Genomic DNA, 25,274 nt, shown 5'->3' with positions numbered 1-25,274 from the left:
GAAAAAAATGCCCAACTTGTAATAGGGGAGGAAAAATAATTTTCTGTTTTCAGAATTCTTAGATGGGATGCTCTGTAAAAACTGACAGATTAAAATGAGAAAAACAGAAAAGTAGAAAAACACGTATACCTTATGGTTACATGGGAGATACTCAGGGAAAAATGAGTAAATCTCCAACAGGTGGCTTTCAATTCAAGCATAAGTACTGTCTTCAACTTAAAGAAAGAAGATTTGAGGTGCAGTATTGGGGAGTTAACCAGCAAAAGCACATTAGACAAGGGTAAGGTTCGTTATACAGACTTAAGTCCATGCATTCTCCATTGATAAGACTCTTTAGTGATTTAGTTATCCTTCTCTTCTTGGTGTCGAGAGAGGTAGCTTTTAAATGGTGATTTCCTTTATAGATGTAAATTTTCCTTACACAAGTGTAACTTCTACTCTGTTTTCACAACTTCCTTTGTTAGCGTTTTTTTTTTTCAAAATAATTAGCTTGGAATAATTCTTAAGCCAAAGGGACATATTTTGGGGTTGCATATTCTGGTTTCCTACCATTATATTTTGGGGTGGCATATTTTGGTCTTATACACTGTGTTCCACCGGCAATGAAAAGAGTTCTTGTTTTTCCTCCAGCAATTTGTCATTTGTTAAAGAGTTTAGCAGTTCTAAGAGATATAGACCAGCTGTGCTATCTTTTTGTGGTTTTTAGTTCTCTAGTATGTTGAGCATCTTTTTGTAAGTGTACTTGCCATCTGTAGATCTTCTTTGGTGAGGCGTCTGTTCAGATCTGTGTGCATTTTTAATTGGGCTGTTTAACTTATTGTTTAGTTTTAACAATTTTTTATGTATTTTGAATACAAATTCTCAGATCTGTATTTTGCAAATATTTTCTTCAATATGTGGCTTGTCTTTTGGTTCTCTTAACAAGGTCTCTTCCAGAGTATAAACTGTAAATATTAAGAAATCCACATTGTCATTTCTTCTGTGTATATCAACCTTCTGTGTCATTTGTTAAAATTCATTACCAAACGCAAAGGCACATAGCTTTTCTTCTATAGTTTCTTCTAGAAATTGTATAGTTTTGCTTTTTTAGTGTAAGGATGATTTTGAGTGATTATTTGTGTAAGTTGTAAAGTTTTCATCTACATGCATATGATTTCTTATGGTTTCCAATTAATAATTCCCTCACTATTTTTGGGAAAGACACAGGATAGTGGGCTCTGTTAGAGTAGATAGCTAGCTAGACATGAACAGGAGGGGGAGCTCCTGGAAAAGGGAAAGTCTGTGAAGGCTCACCTGGAGGGACCACCAAAAATGCACATATTAGTAGCATCTCCAGTGCTGGAGAGGATGGGCACTTGTCAATTGTGGTTAGGAGGGAGAAGAGGTACCTACGCAGAAACACCCTAGAACTTCTCTTAAGATGCCCCAATCATCATTCACTCTGCAATAAAAATGTCAGAATATTGCTAGCTACATGCTGATAAGAAGGACAAAGGGGACATTCCTAAGAGAAACCTGGCACCATAAGTACAGATTAGGGCAGAGAAAGACATTCAAAAGAGGCAGGTGCAGTAGATACAAACGTGACTGCTGTCAGCCTGCCTGGGATGGCAGGAAGGAGGTTGGTGCCAGAGTGGATTCAGATTCATCACCCCACGTGTACCTCAATCAACAGGAGGTCCCACAAGCCTAAGTGGGGCAAGTCAGGGACCTAAGGCAGTAGCAGGAAAACCAAGGAAAACAAGCATAGACTTGAGACAGAGGCAGGAATGTGAAGAAGTCCAAAATAAAATTCCCTGCACAGGACTCTTAGGCTGTTTTCATGCACTATGAACCCACTCCTCCCTATTTTCCTACAATAAGCTCTTTACACTGTATTTCTTTTCAATGAAGTTATCTTCCATCTTTGTACTGCCTCTTGGTGAAAATCTTTCTTCCAAGTTAATAACTGGGACATCAGCTCTCCCCAGTAATAGCTCCTTTTCAGTTTTAATTTACAGAACTGATGGGGATTAATAACTGGCGCTCTGACTTTAAGTGGTGCAGGAGGCGGCCAGTAGGGGACGCCAGCCGTCACACCGGGAGCAAGAGGGCCCTGCCTAGTCCCCATCTGCCTGCAGGTGGCGTGCAGCCACGACAGTGTCAGCAAGAGGGCCCGGCAGTGTCCCTAGCTGCCAGCAGGGGGCGAACGACGACTACACTGTGAGCAAGAGGGCCCTGCAGTGTCCTTAGCTGCCAGGAGGTGGCGTAGGGGCACCACACCATGAGCAAGAGGACCGTGAAGTGCCCTGGTTGCCAGCAGGGGGCGTGCTGCCACTACACTGTGAGCAAGAGGATCCTGTAGTGCCCCCAGCGGACAGAAGAGGGCATGCCCCGACTACACTGCAAGCAAGAGGGCCCAGCAGTGTCCCCAGCTGCCAGCAGGCGGGTGTGCTGCCACTACAATGTGAGCAAGAGGGCCCTGCAATGTCCCTAGCTGCCAGCAGGCGGCGTGCCGCCAGTATACTGCGAGCAAGAGAGCCCTGCCGTGCCCCGGCACCGGCAGGGGGCGCTGGACACCACTGTAAGGAAGAGGGCCCTGCAGTTGCCCTAGTCGCCAGCAGGGGGCGCAATGGCACAGCACCGTGGGCAAGCGGGTCCTGTAGTGCCCGGGTACAAGCAGGGGGCACCCGAACCGGGCTTTTCAGATTACTCAGGTTCCACCCGTCTGTGCGCCGCGCCGCCGGGGACGTGTGTCTGCGCCTGCACCTCGCCATTCCCGCGCTCCCCGCCCAGCGGCGTGCGACTGTACACCTGCAACACGCCCCGCCACCCTGAGCCCAGCGACGTGCGTCTCTGCGCCTGCACCTGCGCCGCGCCTCACTCCCGCCCGCCCAGAGACCCCTCCCCTCCGGGGACGCGGAGGCGTGCGTCTATGCCCTGCGCCGCGTCTCCCGAACAGCGCCTGCGCGGGCGCGCCGCGCCTGCCTGCGCCGGCGCCGGCGCGCCGTGCCTTTGCGAGAGCGGAGTTGGGTTCTCCTCAGCACAGACGCGGAGAGCATCGCGAGGGCGGAGCTGCGTTCTCATCTGCACAGATTTCAGTGGTACTGCGAAGGCGGAGCAGAGTTCTCCTCAGGTCAGACCCGGGCGGGCGGGCTGAGGGCACCGCGAGGGCGGAGCTGCGTTCTGCTTAGCACAGACCTGGGGGACACCGTAAAGGTGGAGCAGCATTCTCCTAAGCACAGACGTTGGGGGCACTGCCTGGCTTTGGGACAACTCGGGGCCGCATCGACGGTGAATTAAATCTTTCCCGGTTGCAGCCGTGAATAATCAAGGGCAGAGACCAGTTAGAACGGTTCAGTGTGGAAAACGGGAAACCAAAAGCCCCTCTGAATCCTGCGCACCGAGATTCTCCCAAGGCAAGGCGAGGGGCTGCATTGCAGGGTCCAGTTGCAGCGTTGGAATACAAATGCAGCATTCCTAAGGCACACATGACACCCAAAATATAACACCCACATTGCTCATGTGGTTTAGGGTTAGGGTGAGGGTTAGGGGTTAGGGGTTAGGGTTAGGGGATTAGGGGTTAGGGGTTAGGGTTGGGGTTGGGGTTGGAGTAGGGTTAGGGTTAGGGGTTAGGGTTAGGGGTTAGGGTTAGGGTTCGGGTTCGGGCTAGGGGTAGGGTTAGGGTTAGGGGTTAGGGTTTAGGGTTAGGGGTCGGGGTCAGGGTCAGGGTCAGGGTCAGGGGTTGGGGTTGGGGTTGGGTTTAGGGTTGGGGTTATGGGGTTAGGGGTTAGGGTTAGGGATAGGGGTTAGGGGTTAAGGTTAGGGTTAGGGTTAGGGGTTAGGGTTAGGAGTTAGGGGTTAGGGTTAGGTTTAGGGGCTAGGGTCAGGTTTGGGTTAGGGTTGGGTTAGGGTTAGGGTTGGGTTAGGGTTAGGGTTTGGGTTAGGATTAGGGTTAGGGGTTAGGGTTAGGATTAGGGGTTAGAGTTAGGGTTACGGTACTGTAAATAATTTTATATTATTACTAATAATAAATTATTATTTGTATTACACTGTTACATAATGTAAACCCTATTAAGACATGTTTTTCTTCAAAGAATGGCCTTGGTTTCTGTGGGCTGTGCCTCCTCATGGAAGGGTAATGCATTCCTGCTAAATCATGGACAAAACGGGCTTCCAGGAGCTACAGACTGCAGCAGCAGCTTCTCCTCTACGTCCTTCACTGCCTCAAACTGTTGTTGACTTTGAAAGCTTCTTTCAGTCTAGTTTTATCAACAGAGCTAGTATTTCATGAGGTTCTACTACATACCAGGTTCCAGAAAGCTAAATGCCTTTTGTTTGTTATTATTCACTAAATACAAATCACAACTCTCTCCTCATTACTCACACAACAAAATTTAGCTGAGGGAGATTGAGTGACTTTCCCAGGGTCACATAGCTACTAAGAGCAGAGTCGTGTTCAGATTCATGTGGGAATATTGAACACAGAAATGAACCAGTGGAAACATCCTATGTTCCAAAAGCCTACTCAAGGCCTTTCTTCTTATTTTAAGGAAAATCTTTATGCTAATTTTAAACTCCAAATACTTATGAATGGCAGAGATCTACAGATTTGATTCTGATGTAAGAAATGATGGTCACCAGCCAGTTACTGCTACCACCCCACAACCCCGAGCATACTGGACGAATGTCTAAGCCTTGTGGTTAGTGGGGACAATGCTGGTGGAGTCTGAAGTTGTCATGCAGTGACTCATGCAAGCTTAGGCAGATTTGGTGATATATGACACAGAGATGCAAAGAAATGTTGTAGCTGACACACACAGGCTGGCTCTGGGAGATGCAGAAGGAGCACGTCACCCAAAATAGAGCCAGACAAGACATCCTTAAGGAAGGAGCAAAAGGGCTGCATCTTAAAGAATGTAGAAAGGATTTGTCATGAGAGATGGGGCAGGAAGTTCTTGAGAGGCAGAGGGAGAGCATGAGAATGTTAGGAAGGGAGGAGAGATTCTCACACATCTGGGAAGCTGACAATCCATCAGCATGGCCAGAAGGAAAATGAGGAGGAGCAGAAATAGATGAGGCTGGATATAGAAGCAGGGCTGAAGCGGTGTTGATTGTGGTAAAGAGTTGTGATTCTATCCAGAACTCAATAGGTAGCATTCTAAACAGAGATCTTTTAAACAAGAGTCAGCAAGTATTTTCTGCAAGGGGCTAAATGTTAAATATTTTAAGTTTTCCAAGCCATATGGTCTCTCTCTCAATGACTCAGCTCTTCCATTATACCATGAAAATAGCCAGAGACATTATGTAACACATGTATTGGCTGTGTCCCATTACAACTTTACTTACAAACGCAGACTGTGTCAGACATGGTCCATGCATGGTAGTTTGCCACACCCTGTTTTAGAAAGCTCAGGTTTATGATGTGATGGAGAATGCCTACAAGAGCTCTTGTTTTAAATGGTAGAGTGAACATACACTGGAATTCTATCCTGCTTGACCCAAGCTCTTGATAGCGAAAGGTAGAAAAGATAGATGGTAAATAGATAGATAGATGATAGATAAAGAAAATACATAGCTGTTCCAGAAAACAGAAATGGATAACTTCATGAACCAAAAGCAGAGTAATATACTTTAGAAAGGAAGCGGGCCGGAAAACCCACAGTTGCAAAACAAATAGAATTTCCAACTGCCTCTTGTAGCCCCTTCCTGGAAGTAGTCACAGCCCAGGGTGTTCGACTTCTTCCTCTGTTTTTTGTTTGTTTGTTGTTTGCTTTTCTGTGGGGTTTTTGTTGTTGTTGTTTGCTTTTAAAAAAAAATTCCCTTTCCCTGCTTTTTTGTCACAGCAGCCTTTGTCACTTCAAACACCGCAAGTGTTCTTTAAAAAAAATTATATCAACCTTTCAATTAAAATGCAACATGTCTGAAACTTGGTATCTGGAGAGGTGAGTTGGACAAAGGAGCCCTTGTTACTGCACGTTTTCATTCTTCAAATTTCACCTTGCACACAGTAACAGACAGTGCACAAAGCTACTTCCTTATGGACGGAAATTCTGAAATCCTTTTATGCCTGGCCTTTCCATCCTTCAACTTCCCCTCTCCCACGCTGTGAATGATTGTATTGGACATTTTTGTTTTAATGTCAGTGACAGGGGAACACAGGTAGCTCTAATATAGCTGTGACCCAGATGCTTCTGTTTCTAGCATGTATTTATTTTGCAGCAAACATTTACATCCATGATGTTTCACTGTCTTTTGAAAATAATTAGGCAATATCTCATCTGAGGTAGGTTGTTTCTAGGGATTGTGTTCTGAGGGAGGAAAACTAATCTGTTCTCTTTCCACTGCATTCTAGGAACAGTAAGAGGACCTTGTGCATGAATAATTTGTTTCCACACTACAGAGTGGGTAATAAGCAGATTAGTAAAAACAATTCTGCTTGACTTCAATAACAGCTTCCTCCAACTCATTTTTTCTCAACAAACTTATTTTTCCAGCAGAAGAATCCCAGACTTCTTAGAGAACCCAGTGACTTTTTGTACCTTAAATCTGTGAAATCCTCATGTTTTCTTCTGCCGTATCCATAGTTCAAACAAAGATGAGGCAAAGCTAGATGCATTCCTGAAGGAACCCAAGAAATTCCTCTCTTTCTTTCTCTGGAATGAAATGAATTCTCTAGACCACCAGTTCTAACCTTCAAAAACCAAACCTGTTTGTGAGATCTCCTTCAAATACTACTGTAGACCCCAGTGTTTATTCATTAAATTTTTTAAATATTTGTTTTATTTGGAATCCATGCATTTGTAATTTTAGTGTTTGTATTAATATCAGGGAGAAATGTTTAAATCTGTCTATGCCATATGTGCCTCTGGCTTATTGCCCAATTAATTGTAGTCTCAGGCTAAACTTTGGTTTCTATCTTTAATTTTTGTCAGAAGAAATATAACTGATCTCAAAACATCTGCTTTTATTGTAGGGGCTCGTGCTGCCATCTCCATTCCTCTCTCTTTTCTTGCAATCTGGGTGGAAGTTCTTTAATATGAACATTTCAACCACCTTCATTCTACCATGTCCACTATCAGCACATTCAAACTGATCCAGCCAAGGCTGTCATCTTAGGCCAGGGATTTTTTAGGAATCTGTTTTGCTGTGATGCGGCTGGCACCCCTTTGACTCACTGTATCACCCCAGGGTTCTTTTCATTTCAGAAGCCCAAGAGGGCAGAAAAAGAAGTAGGTGAGCAATTAAACACTCTGAGTCAGGAGCGTCTCCCCTTGCGTTAAGCAATGTTGTAGAACATCGATGTTCTACATCGATGTTGGCGACCTTGGTACCATTTTGTCCACTTGATTGGAAAAGCCAGTCAATAATTTCAGGTCACTGTTGGCCTTAGAAGAAGAGCCCAAAGGCAACAAGCAAAGGCGCTGGTGTCCAGTCGCCTTCTAGAAGCATTTTCACTTTCCCTTAAGATTTCCCTTGATGAACATAGAAGTACTGTATGTAGAATTGACCCAGTGCTGCCCTGGCAACTTTGTATATTAGGCCAGATTTACATTTCTTACCTTCATGAGAGGCACCCTGGTAGGCTAGTGGAGTTACACACAAAGTCTGATCTCAGCTGCACTGTCCAGAAATGCAACACGGTCCAATCAAATAACATTCTCTGAGCCTGTTTCTTTAGCTGTGAAAGAAGAATAACATACCCATCTAAAAAGGCAGCTTATTGTATTTGATTGGTCTTTTATTTTCTATGAAGCTGTGTTTAACACAGTAATTATTTTCATTTGTGTACTACATTTGTGTTGTGTTTTTGGTTTTAGTTTTGTTTTTGAAATGGAGTCTTTTTTTTAGTGGTTTTTTGTTTTGTTTTGTTTTGTTTTGTTTTTGAGATGGAGTCTTTCTATTGTCACCCAGGCTAGAGTGCAGTGGCGTGATCTCCGTTCACTGCAACCTCCACCTCCCAGGTTCAAGTGGTTCTCCTGCCTCAGCCTCCTGAGAAGCTGGGATTACAGGTGCCCACCACCATGCCCAGCTAATTTTTAAAATATATTTTTAGTAGAGATGGGGTTACAACATGTTGCCCAGGCTGGTCTCAAACTACTGACATCAAGTGATCCACCCGCCTTGGCTTCCCAAAGTGCTGGGATTATAGGCATGAGCCACCGCGCCTGGCTTGTTTTAAAATAAGGGTTTCTTGGCTAGGCATGGTGGCTCACACCTGTAATCCCAGCACTTTGGGAGGCCAAGGTCAGTGGATCACCTGAGGTCAGGAGTTCGAGACCAGCCTGACCAATATGGAGAAACCCTGTCTCAACTGAAAATACAAAATTAGCCAGGCGTGGTGGTGCATGCCTGTAATCCCAGCTACTCAGGAGGCTGAGGAAGGAGAATTGCTTGAACCCAGGGGGCAGAGATTGCAGTGAGCTGAGATCGCACCATTGCACTCCAGCCTGGGCAACGAGCAAAACTCTGTCTCAAAATAAAAAAAAGATTTCTTAAAATGATATTTTCAGTATTTTATAGATGATGTGTAAGCAGCAATCTTAATAGGATATTACCCGACACTTTGCGAGACTGGCAGCTGATTTGATCCAGATGTCTCTAATTCTTTTTTCTTTTTCTTTTTCTTTTTCTGTTTTTTTTTTTTTTTTTTTGACAGAGCCTTTCTCCGTCCCCCATGCTGGAGTGCAGTGGCACGATCTCGGCTCACTGCAACCTCCACCTCCCGGGTTCAAGCGATTCTCCTGCCTCAGGCTCCCGAGTAGCTGGGATTACAGGCGTGCGCCACCATACCCAGCTAATTTTTTGTATTTTTGGTAGAGACAGCATTTCACCATGTTGGCTAGGCTGGTCTCGAACTCCTGAACTTAGGTGATCTGCCTGCCTCGGCTTCCCAAAGTGTTAGGATTACAGGCGTCAGCCACTGTGCCTGGCCCAGATGTCTCTAATTCTAACATGAGATGTATTGCAGGATCATAGCAGAGTGAGTTGCTGATGTACCCAGAAGGAAATGAGCATGGAACTCTCACGACAGCTGTCCTGAGAAGTGTGTGTGTGCTGTGCTTGAATATCTCACTGCTCATTTATACACAGGCTTTCTGGTGACTGAGTTAACAGTATCTGTTTCATAAATAATGTAGCCCTCTTTCTTTCTCTCTCTCTTTTTTTTTTTTTTTTTTTTTTTGAGACAGGGTCTTGCTCTGCTACCCAGGCTGGCGTGCAATGGTGCGGTCTCAGCTCACCGCAACTTCAGCCTCCTGGGTTCAAGCGATTCTCCTGCCTCAGCCTCCCAAGTAGCTGGGATTACAGGCATGCGCCACCACTCCTGGCTAATTTTTTCTTTTTTTTTTTTTTTTGAGACGGAGTTTCGCTGTTTTTGCCCAGGCTGGAGTGCAATGGCACAATCTCGGCTCACCACAATCTTTGCCTTTTGGGTTCAAGGGATTCTCCTGCCTCAGCCTTCTGAGTAGCTGGGATTACAGGCATGTGCCACCACACCCGGCTAATGTTGTAGTTTTAGTAGAGACGGGGTTTCCCTATGTTGGTTAGGCTGGTCTCAAACTCCTGACCTCAGGTGATCTACCCGCCTCGGCCTTTCAAAGTGCTGGGATCACAGGCATGAGCCATCACTCCTGGCCTAATTTTTGTATTTTTAGTAGAGAGAGGGTTTCACTCTGTTGGCCAGGCTGGTCTCGAATTCCTGACCTCAAGTTATCTGCCTGCCTCGGCCTCCCAAACTGTTGGAATTACAGGCGTGAACCACCATGCCTGGCCAGCTCTATTTCTTTAAGCCTACATGTTTTGCACTTGTTAAAAGTATTTGAACATACAATTACTCAGCTTCCCTTGTTTACGCGTGAATTTTGTAGAATCTTAAATATTTTTTCCAATCTAAGCTTTATTTTATCCCGTTTCTTCTATATTTGTATAACTTTAGGCGGCTATCTTCATTGAAAGTTTTTTCTCAAAAGCCTTAAGATAGAACATAGTTCTTGGCAGCAATTTGAAAGTTATTTGAGGAGAAGGGGAGACTTACAATGATGATTCAAATGAAGGAAACTAAAAAGTAATGAAGCAAGGCAGAGGAAAAAGCAGTACTCACTTGAGCACATCCCAAAAGAATAACATTTCAAATGTAACTAGAAAAAAGTATGCTGAAGTTCGCAATACAGAAATAATTATTAATAAGATAGCTTTAAAGCCCTGCTCAGCTTTTGAATGTTGGGAATTGACCCAGAGGTGGCTGTAACCTAAGATGGTTCCTTCAGTAATGACCATTTTTTCTTTTTCAAGATGATGATTATTCCCCACCTTCTAAGAGACAAAGACCAACGAGCCGCCACAGCCACCAGTCCCAGAACCCGCCAATGCTGGGGAACGGAAAATGAGGGAGTTCAACTCTGGTAAGTTCTCAGCAAAATCCATGACCTTTTCCTTTATCTTCTGGACTCTCAATGTGACTGATGAAAGTTACCACATGCTCTGCAGGGGGAAATGGTTTAGCATGTGTTACTACATCTTAATCACATCTTTGTAAAGCCAGGAGCATTTTACAAGTCACGTTACAGACATTGTTTAAACATAGTCTGTATTTACCAAAGTATAGGACATTGTATCATCTCATATTAATTAGTTAGTTGGCTCAAAATTAGTGCTAATGACTTAGTAATTCAGTGATTTCTGTTAGCTTTAAAACCTTTATTTCAGAACTATTTCACCTCTTGGTTTTCATTTTTGCGGTGTGTCACTGCCTGCCAGCTGCTAATTTATTAACTCCCAGTGAATCATGTCCTGTGAAGGGACTGAATATTAGTGGCAATTTATGTTGATGATTTGTATTTTGAATAAATAGTTTGAATACATAGAACATTAAGCTTGTATACATTTTGAAAATAGTATTTTAATATTCTACCGTGTCATAGTTACAATGATTGGATATATATTGAATTTATATGTACTTTAAGTTGTTATATGTTTATGGTCTTTAGCATTTTAACGTGCAATTGTATATCTGTTAAGTCTTTTTTTTTTCGAGATTAGACTGATTTATTGAGGCGTCTGTTTGATGCCACATGAAGTGGCCCAGGCTTTGTGTAGGGGTTGAGGTTAAGCAGGAAGAAGGGCGGTGAGAGGCGGGGCACCAGGGTTAGGTTGGAATACCTGGGGGTGCTCTGAGGCTCCCCAAGTTTCCCTGGTCTTGGCCGGCTGTGCTGCTGGCCTGAGCATCTGATGGGCCTGCAAGGGTGGTCCAGGGGCTAGGGCAGGGACTTTGGAGTGACGCCGTTGGCTTTGAATCCAGACTCCTACACTTGGTAGCTGTGAACTCTCCATGCCTCAGGGACCTGCAGAACTGAGCTCTGTCTGAGCCAGGTTCCATCCAGGCACTGCACATCCATCCAGAGGGGCACTGCCTCAGGCTGCTCGCTGTTCACTGCCTTCTCAAGCAGACCCTTGTCTCCTTCTAGGCCCTCACAATCCAGTGGAGGAGACGCAACTCATCTGCCTCTGTCCCTCTGGGCACGCCTCGTGCCAGGTGCATCTGTGGACAGGGGCCATGCTCCTGGGCTTCCAAAGTTGGAGAAAGCTGCCAGGCTCAGGTGGGTACATCACAGCAGCTGCTGCCCTCTGAACACAGTGACAAAAGAACACTCTGGGCCTGGAGCCCTGGTCTGGGGCATTGGGCAAGGCTGTTGCACTTCTCTGATCCCATTTCCCCATCTGGAAAGTGTGCTGATTGTATCTCCCTGTGGGCACTGAGGGCTCAGTGTTAGTTTGAGAGCCAGCATCTGGGGTTTGGGCTGTAATTCCCCATCAGCCCCATAGCTGCGGGGAACCAGGGACTTTGTTGGGATTACCCTAGGCATCAGTTTAGCTTCCTGCCCCTGGCTTGGGCTCAGCACCTGAAGTAGTCTAGGGGGTAGGTGGTGCTGGTGGGGGCTGGGGCTTTTACCCAGACTGAGGTCACACCCAGAGCAAGAAGTCTTGGTGCCTGCTCTGGGCAAAGGTGCCAGCCTGTGTGACAAGAGCGAAACTCCGTCTCCAAAACAAAAACAAAAAACCTTGCATCATTTCAAGGGGCTCACACCTCCCTAAGGGCCTGGTAATTGGCTGGCTCTGGCCTGCATCTGGCCCCGAGGGTGTAGGTAACACCCCACCTTACCTGGTTTCTTCCTGCCAGGGCCAATCTTCAGACCTCAGGACTTTACAGCCTATCCCACCTCCCCTCTGGCCAGCCTAGAGCCCTTGTGGGTCCAGCACTTTTTCCAGGCTGTCTCCTGGTTGTCCTTCTGCCTTGAGGCCTGGCTCATGCTGCTCCCCCTCCCACTCTCCAAGACCCACAAGGACCACTCCACACCCAGCTCAGCCCCATCCCCTCAGATAGTCCTTTCTCTTTCCTCAGGTGGCCAGGTGCATATCTTGGTGTGAGGACCTTCGCTGTATCTGGGAATGCCTACTGGTTACCTTGGTAACAGAGAACAAGGCATTTACCTGATATGAGTGTCTTGGTTCACTGTCTACATGGCTAGGGAGGGAATCAATAATAGGCTTCTCACTTGCTGCAAGGGCCGGTTCTCCTGGCCCCATGGCTGTAGGGATGGAGGACGCTGCAGGAGATGCAGCGCTCACTTCCCAGCTGAGGACTGTGGGTCATCTCAGGGCGATTTCACAGTCCCCACATGCCCCACCCCCTCAGCTCTGCAAATACCAAGCAGTGCAGCCTGCCTAGGGGATGATGGGCTCGAGAGTGCCCAGGTAGTGCCCAGAGTGCCCTTGGCAGGCCCCTCACCTGGCTGCTTCCACAGCTCTGTAGCAAGAGTTCTAACCTTTTTTCACCGTGAAGCCTGCTGAGAATAAGAGCTGTGGACTGTTTTCCCAGAAAGGCATGTACATGCTCTCCACACAAAACCTTTCATCGTGGCCAAGCACAGTGGCTGATGTGATCCCAGAACTTTGGGAGGCGGAGCCAGTCGGATCACCTGAGGTCAGGAGTTCAAGACCAGCCTGCCCAACATGGCGAAACCCTGTCTCTACTAAAAATACAAAAAATTAGCCAGGCGTGGTGGCAGCCACCTGTAATCCCAGCTACTCCAGAGGCTGAGGCAGGAGAATCACTTGAACCTGGGAGGCGCAGGTTGTAGTGTGGTGAGATCACGCCATTGCACTCCAGCCTGGGCGACAGGAGCGAAACTCTGTCTCAAAAAACAAAACAAAACCAAACCTTGCATCCTTTCAGGGGGCTCACACCTCCCTAAGGGCCCAGTAATTAAACCCTTTGGGCCTGAGGGTGAGAAACTTTGTCTCAGTTCTTCCCCAAGTGATCAGCCCAGGGGTAAGGAAGGAGAAGCCAGAAAGCAGGACCCATGAGAAGGGCCCCCTCCTGGAGTTTGAGGCCCACTCCCTCCTGCCCCTTCCTCTCCTCTGTCCAGGACTCCTCCCTGCTCTGCCCCACTCCTGGGGCCATAACCATGGGGAGCTGTGGTTTTCTACAGGCCCCTGGGCACAAAGTGGGCAGGCTCACCTGGAGGCGATCAGAGTAACATGGCAGGAAGTGAGGGGGAAAGCCGCCCTGGAACTGCGCCTCTCTGCCCCCTGACGTCACTGGCGTGCACTCCTCCCTCCCCTCAGGCAGTGGCATGAGTTCCATGTGAGCGCTGTCCTGCTCCCTCTGCTGCCTCTTTTTTTTCTTGGGGCTGCCATAACACTTTCCCTTCCCCAGCCCTGCCAACCTGGTGGGACATTGGGCTTCCCTCTCACAGGGTCCTGGGGACAGGCCCATCCTTTATCATACCCACAGAGAGACCGTTTTTTTCTTCAGGACCTGGGGAGCAGCCAGGTTCCATGACTTAAATGCAGATCTGAACCAAGCTGGGATTGGGGTACACACTCTCCTCTACTGAAAAGTAGCTAGGGATTCCAACTAGGTGAGAAGGAGAGTGGGGCAGAGCCAGACCAGACAAGGACTGATCACCTGGAAAAAGCCTGCCATCAAAGGTCTTGGCAAATGCTGGGTGCAGTGGCTCACTCCTGTAATACCAGCACTTTGCGGGGCTGAGACAGGTGGACTGCTTGAGGCAAGGAGTTCGAGTCCAGCCTGGGCAACATGGCAAAACCGCATCTCTACTAGAAATACAAAAATTAGCTAGGCATGCTACACTCCTGTCATCCCAGCTACTCAGGAGACTGAGGCAGGAGAATCACTTGAACTGGGGAGGCAGAGGTCGAAGTGAGCCGAGATTGTGCCCCTGCACTCCAGTCTGGGAGACAGAGTGAAACTGGCCTCAAAAAAAAAAAAAAAAAGAATATGGCCTTGGCAGAGAGGGCCAGCCCAGCAGTGCCTTCCCTTGGGTTTCTCCTGGGTAGGCCTCTGCCATGAGGAGGTGCTTCCTTCTGCCTGTCCATGGCCCACAGCAATGGAATGTCTGTTTCTGGGGGTTGGGTGGGAGAGTGCTGGCAGAACTGGAAACCTTCAGGTGGGGTTTTTTTGTTTTGTTTTGTTTTCGAGATGGAGCGTCGCTCTGTCACCCAGGCTGGAGTGCAGTGGTGGAATCTCAGTTCACTGCAACCTCTGCCCCCCTGGGTTCAAACAATTCTCCTGTCTCAGCCTCCTGAGTAGCTGAGATTACAGGCATGTGCCACCATGCCCGGCTAGTTTTTGTATTTTTTGTATAGATGGCATTTCACCATGTTGGCTGGGCTGGTCTCGAACTCCTGACCTCAAGTGATCCACCCATCTCGGCCTCCCAAAGTGCTGGGATTACAGGCATGAGCCACTGAGCCCAGCCCCTTCAGGGGGTTTTGAGGCTTCACTACAATACTAGTTTCCTGTGGCTGCTGCAACAAATTACCACACACTTAGTGACTTAAAACAACCAAAATGTATTCCCTTACAGGTCTGAAGGCCAGAATTCTACAGTAAGTCCTACTGAGTCAAGGTGGGAGCAGGGTCGGTAGCTTCCGAGGCTCTGCGGGAGAATCTGTTTCCTGGCCGTAGAGGTGGCCTGCACTCCTCAGCCTGTGCTGCCCGTCTCGAATGACTGGAGTTTCCTGCTTCTGTCACTACACCTCCCACCCTCTCCATCACCTGCTCTGCTCTTACAAGGATCCGAGTGAGTACATCAACCCCAAAAGCCAAAGACCCTTAACTTCATTATATCTGCAAAGCTCCTTTTGCCATATAAGGTCATGTTCACCAGTTCCCGGGATTAGGATATGGGCATCTTGGGGGCATCAGCCTGCTACAGCTAGGCTGCAAAACTGTTACACCCTCCTGGTGTTTCAATGATTGGGAGAAAAAGGGTTGGCATTTTTTGCTTAGGGGTCCCTCTTAAACTTGTATCTGTAAGGTCGGGGGTCCCTCTTAACCTTGTGTTTTTGTTTTTGTTTTTTTTGAGGTGGAGTCTTGCTCTGTCATCCAGGCTGGCAGTGGCGTGATCTTGGCTCACTGCAATGTCTGCCTCCTGGGTTCAGGTGATTCTCCTGCCTCAGCCTCCTGAGTAGCTGGGACTACAGGCGCCCGCCACCATGCCCTGCTGTTTTGTATTTTTGGTAGGGACGGGGTGGGGGTGGGGCTAGGGAGGGGGGTTTTGGCTATGTTGCCCTGAGCTCAAAGTGATCCGCCTGCCTCTGCTGCCAAAGTGCTGGGATTACAGGCCTGCACCACTGCACCCGGCTGCTGTAAAGTCTTATTTCACACAGCTGAGACATGTTTTAGGAAGTTTGCTAAAAGACCCCTGGAGACCGCCTCATTGTGACCTCCCTGTTATTGTGTTTAATTTGATTGAACTTTTCTGCCCTCCTGCTTTTCAGCTTCTCTAATAGTCTCCCATTAAACCAATTCTAAGAACCACCAAGAAGGGGAAATTTTTTCTTGAAAGCAGTAAAATGATATGGACTGTTAGAATGTAAAATATATGACATCAGTCATTATACGTTAGTGCTGCTCTGACATAGGGACGTGTTATTGAGAAGCAACTTTTGCTTGGTTTTCAGAGAAATGGAATCATCGTATCGCTGATCTACGTAAACAAACTGAAGAATTGTCTGAAAGAAAATATGGTATGTCTAAACTGGAAAAGTCTTGTAATCTTATGTTCATGGGCGTTTACACAGTGGAGTTACTGTTCATCATGGGGGTACCGTGGACAAGCCCAGGGCTGCCGGCGAGTCATGCCATCCTTACATGTTTCTCCTTGTAAGGTGCTTTGTAGTGTCTACACACTTTGTTTCTAGATTGCTGCAAAGCTGAGGAAAAGTTGTATTTCTTTAGTTATTAGTTAGCATTTCTTTTAAACTTTCAGTATGGAGATTGGAAATTTATTTACATATTTATTGCAAAGCCCTGGATCTTAGGAATTTCATTGAATTATTTATTTATTTTTTTTGAGACGGAGCCTCACTCTGTCGCCCAGGCTGGAGTGCAGTGGCACGATCTCGGCTCACTGCAACCTCCGCCTCCCGGGTTCAAGCAGTTCTCTGCCTCAGCCTCCCGAGCAGCTAGGATTACAGGCACCAGCCACCACGCCTGGCTGATTTTTGTATTTTTAGTAGAGACGGGGTTTCATGATCTTGGCTAGGCTGGTCTTGAACTGCTGACCTCCTGATCCACTCACCTCAGCCTCCCAAAGTGCTGGGATTATAGGTGTGAGCCACCATGCCTGGCCAAATATTATTTTTTTAAATGAATTGTTTCTCTTAGTCTGCTTTGTTAAATTTGGAATTCATCTGGGCGCGGTGGCTCACACCTGTAATCCCAGCACTTTGGGAGGCCAAGGCAGGCAGATATCTAGGTCGGGAGTTCGAGACCAGCCTGACCAACATGGAGAAACCCCGTCTCTACTAAAAATACAAAATTAGACGGGTGTGGTGGCGCATGTCTGTAATCCCAGCTATTCGGGAGGCCAAGGCAGGAGAATCGCTTGAACCCAGGAGGCAGAGGTTGCAGTGAGGCGAGGTTGGCACCATTGCACTCTAGCCTGGGCAAAAAGAGCAAAACTCCATCTCAAAATAAATAAGTAAATAAATAAAATGTTCAGTACTCAGCAAGGTGCCCCTGTTGTCTCTGCTTTTATCTTGATGCATCACTGAATTGATGTTAGATTTCAAATTCATCATTGCCCTGATACTATTCTATCCTGAAGCCACCTTTATATAGTGATGAAAGAAATTAGCGATTTGTTATTATCCTCTCTCTGTTGGTATACATCAAATACTCACCTAAAAAAGAGCAACAACCAGTGGAAAACATGATGTTTTTATTTGGGTGACTATTTACTTGTAACCTACTAGCAAACTATAAAATTGTATGATATGCAGAATTTTAACTGAATTGCTTTAAGTGAACATTTAAACATGATAAACAATATTGATGGCATTTATGTTAATATACTTAAAAGGAACATTTTTCTTCATCATGAGTAATATAACCTACTCCTCAATGAAAACCTAGCACTAAATTTGCTAATGAATTCAATAACATTTCCATAATATTTTTAGTTACATGCTTAAGGTTCTCTTAGTGTTTCTCCCACTTTTTAATAGCTTATGCCTTTTTCACCTTTGGTTTTTTTTTGGTTCATTTTAAGGCAAAAATCTCACAACATGTGGTATCTGGAAACACTGTAACCTAGTGGTAAGACCATAGGCCCTGGGGACACAGGCTGGCCACGTCTCTTCTCCTGTCTGAGCTTTAGTATCCTCTTTTGTGGTCATGAGAACTGAAGATCTGTCCCGAAGATTTGATAAGATAGTAAAGTGCTTCACATAATACCAGACATATAAATACACAGTAAATGCTTCCTCCTTATATTTTTATTGATTGATTGATGGAGACAGAATCTTGCTCTCTTGCCCAGGCTGGAATGCAGTGGCGTGATAATGGTTTCTGCAACCTCCACCTCCTGGGTTCAGGCAATTCTCCTGCCTCAGCCTCCCGAGTAGCTGGGATTACAGGTGCCTGCCACCATGCCCAGCTAATTATTGTACTTTTAGTACAGACGGGGTTTTACCATGTTGGCCAGGCTGGTCTCGAACTCCTGACCTCATGATCTGCCTGCCTCGGCCTCCCAAACTGCTGGGATTACAGGTGTGAGCCACTGTGCCCAGCCTGTCTTTTCTCTTCACACCCGCAGTTCATGATGAAATATTAAATGTGTACTAGTGGATATTACTTTGCTGAATATTGCCTAGTGAATATTAAGTATTTATTCTCACCTTTCAGACATGAACTTATGAATTCAATAGGTGAAGATTTACAACTTGATAAATCAACTTTGTCAGGTACGTCTTCAGTCAAGTCAGATTAGAAGATTATGTGAGGTAATTAACACTTAACATTGATTTAATGGTAGCTTCCACATGAAATAGTATGCCTCTAAGTATTAATTATGTCCTAGGACAGGAGAATTCATGTTGTCAAAATTCTCATACTCTCTAGAACAATAAACTCATTTTCTTTTTATTAGTAAATATTGCATTTATGGGTAGACAAAACTGAAAGAACAATATTTGTTCTACTTTTGAGATGCAAGATTCATCTGGCATAATGCATTGAACAGGTTATTATTGAAGTCTACACCAGTCAACTGAATAAGCATTCATCAAATGTCCATGATATGCAGGACATAAGTTTTCTTTTAGAGTATGGAACCATGCATATTATCTTTTAATTAGATGATTTAGTTAGATATGTTTTTAAAGAACTAGAAATATAATTGATTTTCTTGTTTTGGCTCTGGAGTGGAGTGGGGACGAAACAGAATGGATTCACACTTGTTTAGATTTACTAAAATGGAAGGATTGCAGCAAGATCATATCCCTAGTCTCCCTATAGCAAATGTCACCTGCTAGCTGTTTTTTTTTTTTTTTTTTTTTTTGGAGGTTGAAGTTTTGTTCTGTCACCCACGCTGGAGTGCAGTGGTATGATCTCAGCTCATGGCAAGCTCACCTCCTGGGTTCAAGCAATTCTCCCTGCCTCAGCCTCCTAAGTAGCTGGGATTACAGGCCTCTGCCACCACGCCTGCCTAATTTTTGTATTTGTAGTAGAGTTGGGGTTTCACCATGTTGGCCAGGCTGGCCTTGAACTCCTGACTTCAGGAGATTCACCCGCCTCAGCCTCCCAAAGTGCTTGGGATTATGGATGTGTCACTGCACTTGGATTTAATGGGATATTTCACTACAGACTTCGGTAAACAGAATATTAGCATTTTTGGTGTTCTTTTTATTTTACTCATACTGTTTTTCTTTGGACTCAATCACAATAACAGAATTAAAGATCAAAGTGTAAAAGTTAAAGACCAATACAGATTCAATAATTATTCTTTTCTACATACTGTGTTTAAATGATATCCCTTTTTCTTTTTGTTCTTATAGCTCGAGCTGTAAAAGCCAAAGGTCCGGTGATGATCCCATACCCTTTTTTCCAGTCTCATGTTGAAGATTTTTATGTAGAAGGCCTTCCCAAAGGAATTTTTTTTTTTTTTTTTTTTTTGAGATGGAGTTTTCACTCTTATCGCCCAGGCTGGGGTGCAATGGCACAACCTTGCTGGTCACTGCAACCTCTGCCTCCTGGGTTCAAGAAATTCTCCTGCCTTAGCCTCCCAAGTCACTGGGATTACAGGTGCCCACCACCACACCAGGCTAATTTTTGTATTTTTAGTGGAGATGCGGTTTCACCATGTTGGCCGGGCCAGTCTCGAACTCCTGACGTCAAGTGATCTTCCCGCCTCGACTCCTGATATCAAGTGATCTTCCCGCCTCGGCCTCCCAGAGTGCTGAGATTACAGACGTGAACCCATGCCTGGCCAGGAATTTTGTTTTTTAGGAAGGCTTTCTACTAATGGAATTCCTGGCCTTGAGAGGATGTTACTTTAGAAGGAAAGGATTTTTTTGTTATTAAAAGGTAAGATTCCTGGATTCTTATTGGACCGTTATCTCTGTTATGAGTAATCCATTTTTAGTCATTCACCACTAGGGTTGTATTTAATTAAGTCTGAGTTATTTTATGGTGGTTTTGTTTTGTTTTGTTTTGTTTTTACCGAATTTTGTTCTCATTGCTGTGGCTTGAGGGCAATGACGTGATCTCAGGTCACCACATTCTCTGCCTTCCAGGTTCAAGCAATTCTCCTGCCTCAGCCTCCTTAGTAGCTGGATTTACAGGCATGCGCCACCATGCCTGGCTAATTTTTTGTATTTTTAGTAGAGATGGTGTTTCACCATGTTGACCAGGCTGGTCTAGAACTCCTGACCTTGGGTGATCCACCCGCCTCGGCCTCCCAAAGTGCTGGGATTACAGGCATGAGCCACTGCGCCCAGCCTGGGCCTGCTTCTTTCTCTTTTTCTTTTTTTTTCATTAGCAGCTTAAAATTGGTGCCTTATTCAGACACAAGCAAAAGGACATTAGCCCAGCTTTGGAAATAGGTGAGAGCCCATATATGATTTTCCTAGTTTCTCCTCCCCCTTTGCTTTTTGCTCTCTTGTTAGTATATTAATTGTTTTCACTCTCTGAATCTTTTTTCCCCATTTCTTTGGCAGTCATTTTTACTTGTCTTGGAAGAGTAGGTGAAGAGCTGTTTTTAGGACTCTTTGAAAGGGTACAGTATGGGTGACAGTCTTGGCTAATGGTAACATCCAGGGAGCTGGGGTCAGCGTGAGCTGGAATCAGTTCAAATTAGCAAAGCACTGGCACTCAGTGGCAGGAATACAAGTGACTGCAAAGTGTTAAACACATCTGGAAAGGGATACTGACATCATCCTCAGAATCTGTGGGGAGTTCACATAGCCAGTTAGGACCCATTCTTCTTTGACCCTGTAAAGATTCTTTAAAGAATAAATACCCTTAGTGGTTTTCTAGCCAGCTTGCGTGCTCATTTATCTTTGAGGACGACATGCCTTGTGGAGCTCCACAGGCCCCAGAGGGATATGGATTCTGCATTTAAAAGTGCTGAAGCTGAGAGACTGGGTCTTGGTGGACCCCGAGTGGTCTGTTTCTCCTCTACTCATTGTTCCTTTTTTCCCCAACAGCTGGCATTGCTGTTTAAATGGGTTGTTCTTTGCTGTTTTAAGTTGTTTCATAGTGGTGTGTCAGGATTTGGGTTTTCTTAATACTTTCCAAGCTGGTGACTTGAGTGGTGGTTAGGGAGGAAATGTTTTAGGGCTGTTCTGGAGCTATTGAGGTCGGGTGTCTAGATACTCCCAGCTTGTCTGTTGAGGAGAATGCTGTTCTCATTGTGCTGCCTTTGGTGGTGCTGTGTGTGGCTCTTTAGATGTGCGTGGAGGTGAGCTGGGGGAGTTAATGAGATCTTTTTTAGGTGCTTTTGATAAAGTAGCCTGCACTACAGGATTCACTGTGACTTTTTTCCTTAACCTATGCATTTCTCTCTGCTAGCTTTTGCTGTCTTTCTCATGCCTTTGATTTTCCCAGCTCCTCTTAGTTGAATTAACCTAAGTGCTCTGCTATGGTTTAAATGTGTCCCCCAAAGTTTATGTGCTGGAAACTCAATCCTCAATGCAACAGTTGGGATGTGGGGCCTAATAAAATAGCCTTCATGAATGAGTTAATGTTGTTATTGTGGTAATAGATTAGTAATCACAGAGTGGGCTTATTATAAAACAGAGTTCAGCCCCTTTTGCCCTCTTGCTTTCTTGCACTCTCTTTTCCTTCTGCCTTCTGTAGTGGGATGATGCAGCAAGAAGACCCTTACCAGATGCAGGCCCCTCAACCTTGGACTTCCTAACATCCAGAACTGTTAAGAAATAAAATTTATTCCTTTCCTTTCCTTTTCTTCCTCCTTTCCCTTCTCTTCCCTTTTCTTCCCTTCCCCTCCCTCCCTCTCTCTCTCCCTCCCTCCCTCCTTCCCTCCCTTCCTCCTTCCCTCTTTCTCTCTTTCCCTTCCTTCCTTTCCTTCTTTCCCTTCCTTCCTTTCCTTCCCTCCTTCCCTTTTTCCCTCCTTCCCTCCTCCCTTCCTTTTTTCTTTCCTTCCTTTTTTCCTTTTTATAAATTATGCAGTCTGTGGTATTCTTTTATAGAAGCATGAAATGGACAAAGACTCCATTTTCAAGAGCAAGCACTTTTGTAGTTTCTGAGCGAACTATGACTGCAAAGGAAGTTCTATAGGTAGCCTCAGATCCACTACTTAGGAAGCATGCCACCAAGCAGACCTAGGATCTAGGATTTGATCAAGTGCTGGGCAACATGATACCTCTGCAATTTAGCACTTCCCTATATACCTCCAGTTGGCTCAGCCCATTAGGGCTAAAACTACCCCTCATATCCTAGTGTCTCTTGTAGGCAGAAGCCTTGCCTAAACCCTAAGCTGCTTGGCTCACATTCTGTCTTGTGCTTTTTTTGTAGGGGGTTCAAATATACACAAAAGAAATATGTTGAACCTCCATGCACCCAACCCGCAGATTAAGCAGTTACCTCCATTTTTCCAGATTTGTTTCATCTGCTTCAATCTCCCTAAAAATTTATGTTTGTACAGGAAAGACTGAATAAATAGCTAATTCTCCACCCTACCTCTCATCTTAAGTCACTTTTCAGAGTAGTAAGTTAGTGACCTAGTAACCTTCCCTCTAATGACCAGTAGTTTTTTTTTCTGAATACCATTATGAACTCATAGATTATTGTTTGCATTTGATGTATTTCAGGCCATTGCAGTCTTTATTGTTTTGGATGCTTACATTGTCTCATCTAGGTTAATAATTATCTCTTCAAGTTGACTTTCATGTCTTTTTGACGTGATCCTGTTGGACTTTGATGGCTTTCTTGCTTTCTGGCAAAACAGATGTTCCAGGATCAATATACTGCACCATACATGGAGTCAGCCGTTTCTCTAGGGAACCTTGATTCCTTTTAGTAGAGAACGCAGTTTGAGGTCTTGGACTGAATGACTTTTGTGAACCTCCTCTCCTGAGACTACAGCCTGCATCCCTGCATATAGCCCGTTTGGAGCTCTTGCTGGGCACCAACAGATCTCCTAAAACTGCTATATAGTTCTGCCTCACTCTTACAAAGATTCATCTCTTGAGAGTTTTGTGCTCTACCCCCAGATGTGGTCTTTCTGGTTATGAAGCTTTTGCTTCAGTCACCCTGAATTTTGCCAGCCCTATGCATGCTATACCTTGGATTGCCAACTTGCCCTCACTGAAGCCAGTTTCTCTGGTTAGAATAGTTGCCCAAACCCATGCCTAATACTCTAGTAAACAAGGTTCTACCTGGGCTTAGGTTAACTTTTGCTCCTTTGGGCCCTGTGTTCTACCAGCATTCCATTTATCTGAAACTCTCCCTCACCTTAAGAACTTATCTGTTCTTTAATGATTTACTGCTGCTTCCTGGGCTCGAAAGAACCCAGTTCAGGAGTTTCTGTTTTAGTTTGAGATCTTATAGGCCTGTCTCATCAGGTTGGTGTCAGCCCAGCTAGGATTAGGCAGAATTGGGTGGGGGCTGTAGTGCATTTTTGGCACAGCATGTACCTGTCTGACTAATTCTCTGTCTTTTCTTTCCTGTTGCAATTCATGGGTCTTAGCATCTTCTGAATGGTGTTTAGTAGGTCATCCTGTTGATTTCCTGCTAGGGAGTAGCATACTCTGGCCCTGTACCATTGGCCAAGGGACTTAAGGATAGATGAAGGGCTGCAGTTTTGTTAAATGGAACAATATGAAGAGATGGCATTGTTAAAAAAAAAAAAAAAGGCTTGGCAGCAGGGCCCATTTGAATGGTTGGTCCTTGGCTCCTTTGTTGATATAGGCAGATCCTTGATGGGAATTTGGAATGATCCCAAATATTGTAGATCACTGGTACATCAAGTCATCCTCAAGGTTGTCTGTGTAACAGTCTTGAATGATATTTTGTCAGTCTTTGGAGAGTCTCTGTATAGGGTTTAATCATTTAGTTATTTCAGTTGAGCCTGTTTAGTTTCTTTGCAAGGAGATAAGAAATGTGAAAGAGATGCAGACATTAGGGAAAAAAAGTCAGGAGCCTTGTTTCCCCATCCTCTACTTGGGTTCTGGAACTAGACTTATAGGTGAGTAGTGAGGAGCTGGGCCCAAGCACATTAATCCTAGATCTAGCTCTGCTTTGCCCTCGCTCCAGTTCTTGTATCAAATTCACTTCAAGCCACCCAGAGTAGTATGTAGAGGAGTCATTCAGGACCATGCTCATACTTCATTGTATCAAATGGGAGATCCAGTAATTTATAGCCTATTGTTTCTGGAGCCTGGAGATGGCTCTGCATAAGATTTGCTGAAGCAAATTTTATTACATTAGAAGAGAACCTAGCTGGCTGCATCCTACACTGGAAGCTTTTAGATGCTAATAAGGAGGTCATGTAAAGGTCACAGAATGACTCTGGAATCCATTCCCCACCAAGAAAGAATAATGACATTCTATGTTGGCCTCTTTTCATTTCCCTTTGGTTTTGAGTAATAAATTCTCTCCTCACTTCCCAGTCGAACTGTTTGGGAGTCTCTATTCCCTAGAAAGACTCTGGTCACATACCCATCAGATTAAATTAGGTGAAAACTCTTTGGCCTTCATGAATGTTGAAGGATTTCAAAGGGCTAATGGAAATTCTTCTAGAAGTAACTGCAACCTCCGCCTTCCAGGTTCAAGCGATTTTCCTGCCTCAGCCTCCCAAGTAGCTGGGATTACAGGTGTCCACCACCATGCCCAACTAATTTTTGTATTTTTAGTAGAGACGGGGTTTCACCATGTTGGCCAGGCTGATCTAGAACTTTTGACCTCAGGTGATCCGCCCGCCTCAGCCTCCCAAAGTGCTGGGATTACAGGCGTGATCCACCGCGCCCAGTTAAACTTCAGTTTTTCATGTTCCATGCATTGGTCAGGGTCTTAGGGAGTGATTCATTCTAGCAGAACTCCCTGGATTTTAAGGCAGATGTTCCATTTATTAATTGACAAAGGAGGCATATTTCTCCCCTGGTAACCCAAAGATTTAGGTCATTTTCCCAGAGACTCCATTTCCACTGTGAGGGTTCTTGGAAAACTAAGCAGAGGATGAGGAAAAGTCTGTGAACAAGCTTGCTGGTCTCTCCCTGTCCTACAAAAGAGCATACCTCTTCTGTAACCAGAAGGCCCTTTTGATTAGTCAAGGCTGGACAGAGTGAGATTGGGTGTGTGTGTGTGTGTGTGTGTGTGTTTGTGTGTGTCTTAAGACAGGGTCTCACTCTGTCACCAAGGCTAGAGTGCAGTGGTGAGATCAGAGCTCACTGCAGCTTCCACTTCCTGGGCTCAAGCGATCCTCCTATTTCAGCCTCCAGAGTAGCTGGGACTATACGAATGT

At 45.4% G+C, this 25,274-nt stretch overlaps 2 long non-coding RNA genes and 1 pseudogene across 19 annotated transcripts in view; 2 read left to right on the top strand and 1 right to left on the bottom strand.

The window, feature by feature from the left end:
* Positions 1 to 2,979: 2,979 nt before the first annotated feature.
* The window catches only part of LOC101928344 (uncharacterized), a 42,519-nt gene continuing 20,224 nt past the window's right edge, over positions 2,980 to 25,274 (top strand). For 5 of the 17 annotated variants that reach the window (XR_002958438.2, XR_002958445.2, XR_002958443.2 and 2 more), the window contains exons 1-7: positions 2,987 to 3,115; positions 10,273 to 10,382; positions 11,445 to 11,576; positions 14,871 to 15,086; positions 15,970 to 16,035; positions 18,197 to 18,255; positions 19,348 to 19,876. This is a non-coding gene — a long non-coding RNA (uncharacterized LOC101928344). Of the gene's footprint in view, positions 3,116 to 10,272; positions 10,383 to 11,444; positions 11,577 to 14,870; positions 15,087 to 15,969; positions 16,036 to 18,196; positions 18,256 to 19,347; positions 19,877 to 25,274 lie in introns of all 17 variants that reach the window. The other 12 variants (XR_007067067.1, XR_007067062.1, XR_007067066.1 and 9 more) reach the window with 8 other exon arrangements.
* Positions 4,181 to 6,773, top strand: LOC107985295 (uncharacterized). Of its 2 annotated transcripts, none has more exons than XR_001753827.2 (2): positions 4,181 to 6,383; positions 6,480 to 6,773. It is a non-coding gene; the product is annotated as an uncharacterized LOC107985295 (long non-coding RNA). The 2 variants fall into 2 exon arrangements; XR_001753826.2 differs by having other exon boundaries at positions 6,477 to 6,773.
* GTF2IP19 (general transcription factor IIi pseudogene 19) lies at positions 19,347 to 19,450 on the bottom strand (annotated as a pseudogene).

This window comes from Homo sapiens, chromosome 19 (assembly GCF_000001405.40).
Source record: "Homo sapiens chromosome 19, GRCh38.p14 Primary Assembly".
In the NCBI taxonomy this organism is placed as follows: Eukaryota; Metazoa; Chordata; class Mammalia; order Primates; family Hominidae; genus Homo; species Homo sapiens.
The sequence above is the reverse complement of the archived record's forward strand: the minus strand, read 5'-3'. Positions and strand labels throughout refer to the sequence as shown.